At 39.6% G+C, this 14,080-nt stretch overlaps 1 long non-coding RNA gene across 1 annotated transcript; it reads right to left on the reverse strand.

The window, feature by feature from the left end:
* Positions 1–10,782: 10,782 nt before the first annotated feature.
* LOC105379329 (uncharacterized) lies at positions 10,783–13,081 on the reverse strand. Its single transcript, XR_002956697.2, has 3 exons — positions 12,866–13,081; positions 11,362–11,552; positions 10,783–10,945 (listed from the first exon to the last, which is right to left on the reverse strand). It is a non-coding gene; the product is annotated as an uncharacterized LOC105379329 (long non-coding RNA).
* Positions 13,082–14,080: the final 999 nt, after the last annotated feature.

A 14,080-nucleotide genomic window follows, 5' to 3' on the forward strand; every position in this document is an offset into this window, starting at 1 on the left:
TGACAGGTGAGGAAGAGGAATTAGGAAAGGTTCAGAAGTGTAATGGGGAATCACAGTGAGAAAGTTTAAGATTGCAAGAGGCCAAAAGAGAGCACCATTATGCACAGAGGTGGCCATCCCCTACTTGCAACTGGCTCAAGGCCATTCCTACTGGAGCATGCTCTCATCTGCAAATCATGTGCAAGTTTTCAGTGGCAGTCATGTGCTGACATCTCCTTATCTACAAGGAACCTCAAAGTCCCTTGAACATCTCATCAGGCTAGGATCTGGAGCTGATGGTCACAGCACCAGGGTGGACACACAGGGAGCAGAGAGACACAGGACTCAAGAAATAACAGGAAGTCAAACTGTCACTGTTTGCTGATGATATGATTGTACACCTAGAAAACCCCAAAGACTCCTCTGAGAAACTCCCAGAACTGATAAATGAATTCATCAAATTTCTAGGATACAAAATTAATGTACACATATCAGTAGTTCTGCTGTATACCAACAGCGACCAAGCTGAGAATCAAATCAAGAACTCAACCCCTTTTTACAATAGCAGCAAAACAATTAAATATTTAGGAATATACCTAACCAAAGAGGTAAAAGACATCTACAAGGAACACTACAAAACACTGCTGAAAGAAATCATGGATGACACAAACAAATGGAAACACATCCCATGTTCATGGATGAGTAGAATCAATATTGTGAAAATGGCCATACTGCCAAAAGCAATCTACAAATTCAATGCAATTCCCATCAAAATACCACCATCATTCTTCACAAAACTAGAAAAGACAATCCTAAAATTCATATGGAAACATAAAAGAGCCCACATAGCCAAAGCAAGACTAAGCAAAAAGAACAAATCTGAATGCATCACATTACCTGACTTCAAATTATACTATAAAGCCATAGTCACCAAAACAGTACAGTACTGGTATAAAAATAGACACATAGACCAATGGAACAGAATTGAGAACTCAGAAATAAAGCCAAATACTTACAGCCAACCGATCTTTGACAAAGCAAGCAAAAACAAAGAGGGTAAAGGACACCCTGTTCAACAAATGTTGCTGGGATAATTGGCAAGCTACTGGTAGAATAATGAAACTGGATCCTAATCTCTCACCTTATTCAAAAATAAACTCAAGATGGATCAAGGGCTTAAATCTAAGACCTGAAACCATAAAAATCCTAGAAGGTAACATCAGAAAAATGTTTCTAGATATTAGCTTAGGCAAAGACTTCATGACCAAGAACCCAAAAGCAAATGCAACAAAAACATTAATAGGTGGGACTTAAACTAAAAAGTTTCTGCACAGCAAAAGAAACAATCGGCAGAGTAAACAGACAACCCACAGAATGGGAGAAAATCTTCACAATTTATATATCTGATAAAGAACTAATATCCAGAATCTACAGGGAACTCAAACAAATTAGCAAGTAAAAAACAAACAATCCCATTGAGAAATGGGCTAAGGACATGAATAGTCAATTCTCAAAAGAAGATATCCAACTGGCCAACAAATGTATGCAAAAATGCTCAACATCACTAATGATCAGAGAAATGCAAATCAAAACCACAATGTGATACCACCTTACTCCTGCAAGAATGGCCATAATCAAAAAATCAAAAATAGGAATGTGGTAAAAAGGGAACACTTTTACACGACAGGTGGGAATGTAAACTAGTACAACCACTACGGAAAACAGTGTGGAGATTCCTTAAAGAACTAAAAGTAGAACCACCATTTTATCCAGTGATTCCGCTACTGAGTATCTACCCAGAGAAAAAGAAGTCACTATACAAAAAAGATACTTGCACACACTGTGTATAGCAGCACAATTCACAATTGCAAAAATATGGAACCAGCTCAAATGCCGATCAATCAATGAGTGGATACAGAAATTGTGGTATATATATACCATGAAATACTATTCAGCCATAAAAAGGAATGAAATAATGATGCTCACAGCACCCTGGATGGAATTGGAGGCCAGTATTCTAAGTGAAGTAATTCAGGAATAGAAAACCAAACACCCTATGTTTGCTTCACTCCTAAGTGGAAGCTAAGCTATGAGGATGCAAAGGCTTAAGAATGATACAATGGACTAGGGACTTGGAAAGGGTGGGAGGGGGTGAGGAATAAAAGGCTACAAATTGGGTACAGTGTATACTGCTCAGGTGATAAGTGCACCAAAATCTCACAAATCACCACTAAAGAACTTACTCGTGTAACCAAACACCACCTGTTTCCTAATAACCTATGGAAATTAAAAAAAAAAAAAAAAAAGGAAGAAGGGAAGTAAATCCAGAAACCTCAAAATAGAATCACATTGAGAAGCACACAAAAGAGAAATGTCAGGCCCATGAACGATAAAAGGGGAGAAACAGAGGCAGTTATCCAGGAGGGAGGGAAAGCCTGGACTCCATGAATGCACAGTGGCATAACCCCCATGTGACAGTGACACCCACCTCACTGCCTGCTCAGGATCAGCCTGCCTGCTCATCATCATCTGCTTACCCTTGAAGCCCAGGTCCCTGAGCCTGGAGAGGAGGAAGCAACAATACACGTTAGCAAATTGAAGAAGAAATAATTTTTTTACTGCTGCAGTCCCCCCGTATTAATTAAGCTGGTAATTAGATGCAAGTTTCTCTCTAAATTGCATATTCATCTTCTTCTAACAGCACTTAATGACTACGATCTGTATATTAAAAACTTAACACTACCAGCTTGCATAAATTCCTGTATTTGTCCATGGTCAGCAAGTTTCAGAAGCTGGATAAAACCTAAAGTCTCTTCTCAGGAAGCTGGGGGATGGGTTTATTAAGGAACTTATAAATTCTGAGAACCCTGCCTAAGAATAACAATCTATGAATTTCCTAAAGAGTTGGTGTGCAAATTATCTGCCTGTGGGTTTTCTCCTCTCTGGATTTTCTATAATATTCCTTTGGTCTCAATACGGGTTAATTCACTGTCAACTATGCTTCTTACTAGCTGTCCCCCATCCCTAACACTGCACCATTTCTTGACCCACGTGCTGAGGGGATGCAAACTGGAGTTAACAACAACCTGAACAAGGAAGCAGGCCATTAACATCATATTGTGTGCCTGTGAAGAAATAACATACCTTTACCTGTAAATCCTTGTTTCCCATTTCAGAGGTGTTTTATATTTTTAACATGGGATCTGTACTAGGGTTGAGGCTGTGGGAGGCTGGTGAGTTTCCACTTGGAGGAGGTGGTCACCAAATTAGGAGAGGGGCTTGTCCCCAAAGACGTGGCTCTAGGCAGGCCACTATGAATCATGAACTTCTATGTGGCATTCTGTATTCCTTGTATATAACAAAGATTTCAAATTTAATAAGAAAAAAAGGCAGGATGAGATATTTTTAAAATACAAGACACCTCACCAAAAAACATATAAAAATAGCACATAAGCATATTGTCTCAGACTATTTGTGTTGCTATAACAAAATATCTTGGACTGCATGGCTTATAAACAGAAATTTTTTCTTACAATTCTGGAGGCTAGGAAGTCCAAGATTAAGATGCTGGCAGATTCAATACCTGGTGAGGGCTGCTTTCTGGTTCATAGACGGTGCCTTCTTGTTATGTCTTCACATGGTGGAAGGGGCAAACAAGCTCCCTGGGGCCTATTTTATAAGGGTACTAATTTCATTCATGAGGACTCCACTCTCATGACCTAATCACCTTCCCAAAGGCCCAACCTCCTAATCTTACCAACTTGATGATTAGGTTTCAGCATTTGAATCCTGGGGGGGCCACAAGCATTTAGACCATAGCACATATGAAAATATGCTCCACATCATATGTTATTAGGCAAATGAGAATTAAAACAATCAGATACCACTACGCATCTATTTGTCTAGTAGAATGGCCACGAAACAGAACACTGAAAACATCAGATGCTGACAAAGATATAGAGCAACAGGAACTCTCATTCATTACTTGTGAGAATGCAAAGTGGTACAGCTACCTTGGAAGACAGGAGCTTTTCTTACAGAAACCAAATGTATTCTTACCATAGGATCCAGAAATTGTGCTCCTTGGTATTTTCCCAACGGAGTTAAAAACTTAAGTCCACACAAAAGCCTGCACACATTTATAGCAGCTTTTTTATCACTGCCAAAATTTGGAATCAATTGTAATGTCCTTCAGTATGTGAATAATAAAATGTGGTACACCCAGACAATAGAATATTCAGGGCTAAAAGGAGATTAGCTATCAAGCCATGCAACGACATGAAGGAATGTTAAATGCATACTACTAAGTGAAAGAAGTCAATCTGAAAAAACTACATACCGTATGATTCCAACTATATGACATTCTGGAAAAGGCAAAACTATGGAGACGGCAAAAAGGTCGGGGTCAGTGGGGAGGGAGGAATGAAGATCAAGGGTCAGTGAAGAGGGAGGTGGAGCAGAGGATTTTTAAGGCAATTAAACTACTTTGCTTGATAGTATAATTGTAGAGAGATACACATTTCTCCAAACCCATAGAATGTCCAACATCACAAATGAAATCCAATATAAACTAGGGACTTTGGGTGACGATGTGTGAAGGAAGGTTCATCAAATGCACAACTCTGGTGGAGGATGTTGATAATGGGGGATCCTGTCTATGGGTGGGAAAAGGGATATATGGAAACTTTCTGCACCTTCCACTCTATGTTGCCATGAACTTAAATCTCCTCTTAAGAAAATAAACTCTAAAAAAAAGGAGAATACAAGAACAGGAGGGAAATGGGAGAATTATTTTCATGTTGCAAGTTATACCCTTTTTTATCTACTAGCTGAGGTTATCAAGATGAATGGCCTCTTGATAAGTGAAATTAAAATCCTGCCATCCATCCCTTCACTAAGAGAACAGTGGTTGTTTTTGCTTAGTCATTATATTATTGATGTATTTGCTGCTGTCCATTCCAGATCATGGCGGGTTAATCCTATGGCGGAGTCTTGAAAGTCATTCCTGGAGGGCAAGTGTCAACCTATCCTCATTGCAAGTAAGAAAAACCACCCTAGGAGTTGAAGAAATAAGAGAGATTACCAGCAGGTGAACCCATTCACCACAGCTAAGAAACTTCTCCTGGGAAGTAAAGTTATTAAAGTTTGATGTACTTGACAATTTGAGGGGGGGGAAAAGTGCTGCTGTTTCTTGAGGCAGCAACAAATCACCACCGCCCGCGGTAATGATAGGCCTTCTCCTCCTCAGAGCTGAGAAAGACAATCACATAAAGAAATGCATCAGCAGAGTGGGTGAGAAAAAATGACTCAGGTATTGTATTTTCTGTATGTTGTCAAGAAATGCATCACTCTACAGATGGATCTGATTTAGTAATATTATAGAAAATCATATATGGTTTTGGTCCCTAACAGAACTATTATTTATCCAGAGCCTACTGTGTAACAGCTATGGTTCATATTACCTCACTCAATTCCTCCACATGTTACTTTATAATTTTATTAATAAGTAAACTGTACTCTGGGAGATTTTCATTAACCTACGATCACAAAATTAGTGTTCTTCCTACTAAACTACCCTACTTATGCTTACCTATGCTAAAAGGTTGTGTTGGTAAACTAAAAATCAAATCCAAAAAAGCCTAGGCTTTCTAACTAATCCTCTTCTCTGCAGGTGGCTGAAAGACCTAGAAGACAAGAATCTTTTACAATTTACAAGAGGTGGAATATGCAGGAATAACTTCAGTGATAATAAGCAAGATATGTTAAATAGTAAAATCTCAAAATGCTATAGTCAGAAGCAGTATTTTAGATAATCACAAGGAATAAAATGAAGTAGAAAATAAGTTTACATGAATGGGGAGCCATTCATTCAATCCCATCTAGATGCCACTCTTCCTAGAAAAATGTAGAGCTCAACCTTCCCATAGCTTCAGCTGTTCACTGTTAACTGGGAACCCCCAAGTGCTGGGAAAAACAGATCCTTTTCCTATCATGTGGTAAGTAACTAGTGTCAGACATTCTGTAGAGCATACTGGAAGAAGAAAGTCTCTTTTGAAATTGAGGGAATACAGACACTATATCACGATTGAACTGTGAGAAATTTCAGACCAGACATTTAGTATTCTCTACAACCATCCTAAGTTCAGAATAGATCTAACACAAGAACACAGAGGAGAAATCAGCAGAACATAGACAACAAAGGTGGAGACAAGTGGTCCAATAAGGCCCGAGTCAGACCTGATGAAGCATCTTAGCTAATGACCTAAAGATAAGTTATTCTGCTTGTTATATATTCATTTATGTTGTTTGTTGAATATTGACCCATACTAATGGTGACAATGGAATAAATGGAATGTGGGAACTTGTTCATATTGCAAAAGTACTCATTTTCAGTGAGCAACTTTGGCCACCTTTTACTGAGGAATGAGGGACCTCAGAGTAGACACTTGACTTACCTACTGATTTACACTAGGCCCTTGTCTTATTGCATTTTACTTTTCTTTTTCATCCCCACCCCTGCTCTCATCACCCTCCTTCTCTCCTATAGACACCCACTCTAATGAATTTGATACTTCTTAAATATGCATCAGTGTAAAAATAGTTTTGTAAGTACATGTGTGTTCAATTTGAATAAAGGTTCTTATGCCTTGTTTCTTCTGCTGCTTTTTACTATTTCTTTTTGTCTTCTTTTTTCACTATGTACTGTGCTATTAACATTTCTCTATGTAGCTGTATATATTATTACATGATAGATGCATATATACACATTATAATATTACTGCATAGCATTCCACGGAATGCATTATCCTCTTTTCACTTATCCATCCCACTAGTTGTATTAATCTGTTCTCATTCTTCTAATAAAAACACACCCAAGACTGGGTAGTTTATAAAGGAAAGAGGTTCAATGAACTTCCGCATGGGTGGGGAGTCCTCACCATCATGGTGGAAAATGAAGGAGGAGCAAAGTCCTGTCTTACATGGCAGCAGGCAAGACAGAGCTTGTGTAGGGGAACTGCCCTTTATAAAGCCATCAGATCTCATGAGACTTAGTCACTACCGTAAGAACAGCATGGGAAAAATCCACTCCCGTGATTCAATTACCTCCCACCAGGTCCCTCCCTTGACACATGGGGATTAGTACAATTTAAGGTGTCATTAGGGACACAGAGTCAAACCATATCGCTAGTGATGGATGATTAGGTTGTCCCACCTACATAAACAGTCTTATATGGATTCACATATAGAAACCTGTGAGTTTCTCCGTGGCAAATACCCAGAAGTGGGATTTCTGAATCTTAAATTATATATTAACTTACGTTCAGTAAGTCCTGCCCCAAGCATCTTGTAAATGACTGTATCAATTCCTACTAATGGATACACTTATCCATTCCAACCAGAAGTGATTCCTGTTTCCCTACATCCTTATCCACTCTTTGTATTGTGCAATTTGTCCATTTTTGCCTGACTTATATATGTTGAATAGTATCTTACCATTTCAATTTGCTATAAAATGATTACAAAGGAGGTAGATCTTTCTTTCTACACTTGTTAGCAAATTAATATTTGTTCTTCTTTGAAATTCCTGGTCTTCAACTGTCCATTTTTATAGAAGTTTCTGTGCCTTTTTTGCTGAATTGTCTAGAATTTTTATATTCCGTATACTAATGCTTTGTCAGTTTTAAACATCGCAAACGTCTTCTCCCAGTCTGTGAACTACCTTTTGTTTAACTTATTCTATGAAATCTTTTGTCATATTTCTAAAGTTCTAAGTTAAAAAAAACTAACTATTGTTATATTTTAGATCAAGGTGACTGCTGACAATTGCAGTAAGGATTTGGTGTTTCGAGTGGGCAGACCAGACAACTGTTTTAGAGTGTGGCCCTAGCTAAATATGTTCCTGTCTGGCTGCCACATTTAGAAGCACTTGGGAACTTTATTTAATTCACTTAATTTATTTTATGGCTGATGTTCACCTGCCTTCACTTCCCTAAGACAAACTATCTTGAAGCCACAGATAAATTAAGCCCATGGTTTATTGGGCACATCATCTCTAAAAATAAACTAAAAGCTGAATTTCTCACTATCTCATCCCCAATCCCTGCCGCAATAGGGTAGCTCCTTGCTCAGATGGCTTCCATTTCTTCAACTTATATTTTATCTTTCATGATGATTGTGCTGTAAAAATCATTATGTCTCTCCTTATGCATCACAAGAATGTGCATCTTAACAGTTCTCGTTCCATCAACCTCTCTGTATGGATGTGTCATAGATGCTTGACCTTCTAACCTCAAGTTGCTACAGAATTCCCATACATTTTCTTCATCCGCAGAAGCTCCTTATGTCATGGATGGATCTCAATCCCATGTCTTTCATTGCCAAACATATATGTTTACCACCATATTATACTATCTTCACTCATCAAGGCTGACTTGAATCATTCAAAAACGGTTAAATAGCACCTTAACATAGGAACTGCCGTCTGGACCAGACAATTGTGCTGTGAGAAAAAGTATGAGTTATACTAAGCTGTAAAAAAAACTATTTTTTAGCTGGGCGTGGTGGCTCACGCCTGTAATCCCAGCACTTTGGGAGGTGGGCGGATCACAAGGTCAGGAGTTTAAAATCAGCCTGGCCAACATGGTGAAACCCCATCTCTACTAAAAATACAAAAATTAGCCAGATGTCGTAGCACATGCCTGTAGTCCCAGCTACTCGGGAGGCTGAGGCAGGAGCATTGCTTGAACCTGGCAGGCAGAGGTTGCAGTGAGCCAAGACCACGCCATTGCACTCCAGCCTCGGCAATAGAGTGAGACTCTGTCTCAAAACAAAACAAAACAAAACCTATTTTTAAAATTCCTACAACCAGCTATTTCTGATTCTCATTTAGTGTTTCTTATTTAGTAAAATGTGATGACTCCACATGGCATCTGCATATTCTATTGCCTCTTTTATCACAGAACGGTGAGCATCACTTTTGAGCTACACAGCTGAACGCACTTAACAGGTGTATACCCCAGTGCCCTCCAGTCCTTTTATCCTGAGAGATAGAAAACCATCAGGGGCTAGCCTGATACAGCTAGCCATTAGCGTTCTCCTTTCAAACGCACGATTTCTTAGAACATGAACATCAGACAAGTCCACTCTGCAACCACAATGGATCAAGACAAAAACAAAATCCCTCATAATCATGTTTGAACAGTTAACGGACATTGTCCAAGACACAAAATGCCAAACATCCCCTTCTCCTAGTTAATATATGACTATTGCTTCTTTGCCATTAATAGCTTTAGCTGTTTAGCAGTCTGCCCTGCCTAGTGAAGTTATTAAAATACCCAGTCTCTGCTTCCTAGCAGCATCAAATCCAGAGCAAAGCTCTGCTTCCATAAGCCTTCCCCAAGATCACCTAACCCAAGCACAAATCTTAGACAAATTATTTGTGGTATGTGTTCTTCCTCACTGCGAGGAGTAATAAGCCCAACTTGTTCAACTACAGGTGTGCTCCTCGTGGTCTTTGGCTCAAAGACATTGCCAATTTCATTAAACCCATGAAATAATACATAGCATAGTAATAAAAGCAGAGGCTTTAGAATTCTGACTCTACTACCCATTGGTATTATGGCTATGAAAATGTTAATTACTCCAAATCTCCTATTTTCTCTTCCATAAATTAGATAACCAAGATTCCTCAACAAGCCCATGCAAATATACCTCATAGGGTTTCTGTGAGCAGGACTTCCATGAACAGTCAAGCATACTGGGCACTGCACAACTCCAGAGAACATTCATACACACTGAAATTGTTCACATGGCAGTCCTGGCTATGAAATAATGCATGTCAAGTGCTTGGCACCATGTATGCCACCTTTGAAAGACTCAATAAGTAACAGCTATAATTGCTAAGCATGCTTAAGCCTGTAACTGAGTCAGCATTGTCTTGAGTATTAATGTTGCCTTTCTGGCTGAGCAAGTGGCTGCCTCCATAATGTGATTAGATCAGTAAAGCCAATTTGAAAAAGGTGCTAGGAACACCATCTGCCATAGATCACCCCCAATGGACTGTGAAATGTCTGGCATTCTACCATCCCAGGCTCTGTGTGCTAAAAGCTGGTCCCTTCTCCTTGGTGATCGGAAGTCACAGGAATGATAGTGCTGGTGAGGCATCTCCGATTTACAAAGCTTTGCCTTTCCTTATTTCTTCTGGTCCTCATAAAACCTTGTCAGAATAAGTGTTTAGGAAATATTATTAGGATGCCTATTTTATAGATGATAAAGATATGTTCAGAGAAGTGACTCATCCAAACACATGTCAACTAAGCTGCAGGGGCATGATACCAGCCCAGGTCTTCTGACTCCAAACCAGTGCTCATTTCATCAAGACACACTGACTCTCAGTGCAGGGAAAATCCGGTTACAGGTGCCAAGCATCTGAAATGCTAGGGAAAAACTAGGAGAGGGCCCTTGCTGATGGCAAAGCCTATTCTATTCATGCTGTGTCCTTGGAGCAAATGAAGAAGACACTGGCACACCATACGAGGTCATTTGGGGTCCTAGTCTAACATCTGTCATAGGGACTATGTTATCTCCCAGCTCTGTATGTGAAGATCTAATGATATTGTTTTGAAAAACATCATCACCCAAACAGTGTGCTTAGTACCCTCATCAATTGTGTCTCCTTTGCTGGCACACTTGAGTTCCCAAGTAAATTCTCTCCAGGCTCCACTACCAAAGGGGTGAAGGGGACAAGAAAGCTAATGCACAGCCAGCACTTGCTACAGAGACAAGTACAGCAAGAAAAGCATGTTAAGATGTACTAGCCACACATTTATTTTGTCAAGAATTACCTCATTCGAGTAGGCACGGTGGCTCACGCCTGTAATCCCAGCACCTTGGGAGGCCGAGGCTAGAAGATTGAGTGAGTCCTGGAGTTCCAGACCAACCTGGGCAACGTAGTGAAACCCCGTCTCTACAAAAAAAAAAAAAAAAATTAAAACTAGCTGGGTGTGGTGGCTCATACCTGTAATCCTAGCACTTTGGGAGGCTGGCACGAGAGAGTTGCTTTAGTTCAGGAGTTCAAGGCTGCAGTGAGCTACGACAGTGCTACCGTACTCCAGCCTGAGTGACAGAGCAAGAGCCTGTATTAAAAAGAAAAAAAGAAAATTTATCTCGTTCACAGGAACAATAGACACTGGGGACTCCAAAAGGGAGGAGAGAGGAAGGGAAACAAGCATTGAAAAACTTCCTATTGGGTACTGTCTTCACCGTTTGGGGATCAACTGAAGCCCAAACCTGAGCATCAAGCAATATACCCTTGTAACAAAAATGCACATGTACCCCTTGAATATAAAATAAAATACTTACATATACATATAAAGGAATTACCTCATTCAATTCTCACAGTAAACCCTATGAGGTCAACACGATTTCCGTCATGTAACGAACGAGGAACTGAGGTTCAGAGATCTCAGGGAACTTGGCCAGGCTCACAGTGTACGTGGGGAAGCTGGGGTTTTAAGGCAGCCTTCTGCTACTTTACACTCTAGGCACTTTGCATTTGCCACGTGGCCTCTCACCTGTGCGAAGGAGCCAAAACATGTTCAGCTGGTTTGGAGGGGAGCGCTAGGAGCTGACAATCGTACATTGCATTAACTTTTCTTCTTCCAAATGTCTCTTCCAAAAGTATTTTATTTTCTGGTAGTGTCAGTGCCCTTATTAAAGGTAGTGGCTGGTGATGGGAATTGTAAGCAGGCCAGTGGGAAGAGCAAGGACAGACCCTGAGCTGAAACCGCCCAGCAAAGCAGCTTCCAGATTCCTAACCCTTAGAAATTATGTGATCCTGGTGCAAATCCTATTTGTTAAAAAGGAAATAAAAAGAAAGAATCTGAGATAATAAGCCTTTATTGTTTTAAGCTGCTAAATTTGGAGGTAATTTGCCACACAGCAGTAGATAACTAATACAGAGAGATAACTAATGTAGGGGATAAAGGACCTGCCCAAAGTCATCCACAGATTAGCAACAGTGTCAAGAAAAGGAAAATTAGAATAAAATGTTAAATAAATAAAATAAAGTGACCCAAGATGACTATAGGTGAGACATATGGGTAATAAAAACTAGGCCTATAAATTAAATCTGAACTCTCATCTGCAAAGCAAGAGTTTGTCAAATATTTTATCGACAGATACTGATTATAATTTTGTTCATTAGAACATAAAGGCAAGATAAAATCAATCATCCCTCTCTAGACCCTAACACATCTACATGCTCATTAACCTATATGTGCTGACCATGTATTTGTTTTGTCTTATATCTAACGTCACTGTGCACCAATCAGAATTATAAAAATATCACCTTTACTTCACTACCCCCATTCTTCCATTTTCTATGAACAAAACGTATAAAGACCACGTCTTATGGCTAGACACAGTGGTTCATGCCTCTAATCCCAACACTTTGAGAGGCCAAAGCAGGGGGATTGCTTGAGGCCAGGAGTTGGAGACCAGCCTGGGCAGCAAAGTGAGACCCTCATCTCTACAAAAAAATTTACCAAAAAAAATAAAATATATATATATATATATATATATATATATAGCCAGGCATGGTGGTGCACACCTGTAGCCCTAGCTACTCAGGAGGCTGAGATGAGAGGATTGCTTGAGCCTAGGAGGCTGAGGCTGCAGTGAGCTGTAATTGCATCAGTGCACTCCAACCTGAGCAACAGAGACCCCATGTTATAAAAAAAAAATTAAAATTAAAAAAATACTATGTCTTGTATAGGTCACTCTGGGACACATTCTTAGTTTGTGCTGAGTCCGTATTTCCTGGGCTGTTAGTACTCCACCTTGGCTCAAAATAAAAAGAACTTTAAAATTATGTAAGTTATACTACCTGTTATTTAACCTTTCAGTGGACAACAGTAAGGACAAAATGTCAAGCCCATCACTCTGGGTAAGGAGCTCTTTTGAACCACCCCCAGTCGCGTCCATGGAATGTCCAGGTTTCCCCTCCTACATTTCTTTTTTCACTTCACTTTGGAATGGACAAGGTCTTCTCCAAGTAGAGGGAACAGAGACTGATGGTGTGAAGCATGGTGGGGGCTGCGCTGTGGGATAGCATGGAGAGACGGGGTGTGTTAAAATATGAGAGACACCTTTGTTTTACATTCATCTCTGATTTGTATTTTCTGAAATTTAGCCCATTTCTCAGAAGAAAGAACAGATGGAGGATCATTAGAATAAAATATGCAAAGATGGAGAAAAGAGAAAACCACATCTGCAGATTGTAGAACCATGGCTGGCCACTAATGAATTTGATTTTTCAAAGCAACTTACAACTTGATTGAAAAGCAGTGTTCTTAGAAAACTCATCTTCTGATTATACCTCAATTCCCAGGTCCTTATAATATAGTGTATCTTTATTACAGACCCATTAGTCAAGCCTCTATTAAATGTAGAGCTATCTGCATTAGGTACTGGTTTAATTTGTCAGGGTCTTAAAAAGAATAATTCTATTAAATATTCCATTATGTAAATCACGTGAAGAAATTTATTTGCAATAGCCAAAAGCAGCTAGAGGTAACTAAGACCACGTAAGAAGGCTCTGCAAGGTATCTACTACCTTGAGCATGTCTTTCATTGTATCCATATTGAGAACTGCAAGTCATTGTCTGTCTTTACCAGAGACAACATTAACATGCAGCCATTTCTTAGAGGAAATAGGGTAGTAACCAGGAGTATTTGGATAATATAAATTTGCATCTGTAAAGCATCTCCCTAGAAATTATTGATTTTCTCTTCCCCGAAAAGCCTATTAAAAGGAAACATCTTTTCTAATGCTTTCCAGGGGGCCTCCAGGAAATCATTACCGGTAGAGACTGTTGTTTTATGGGTCTTTGGATGGGAGCTTTAAATATGAACATGAAATGTGAAAAGGAAGGATGTGATACACAGACTCCTGCTGAGAGCTGGCTTTTATTCATTGCCTGTCCTCTCGTTTATTTCTCCAGGCAATTAGCCCAGGCTGTCACTCTGGGAACCATCCTTTGAAAGACTACTCCTCCTGGAGAAATTTTTACAGAGTCAAAAGCTGGATTTAATTCCCGCT

This window comes from Homo sapiens, chromosome 8 (assembly GCF_000001405.40).
Source record: "Homo sapiens chromosome 8, GRCh38.p14 Primary Assembly".
In the NCBI taxonomy this organism is placed as follows: domain Eukaryota; kingdom Metazoa; phylum Chordata; class Mammalia; order Primates; family Hominidae; genus Homo; species Homo sapiens.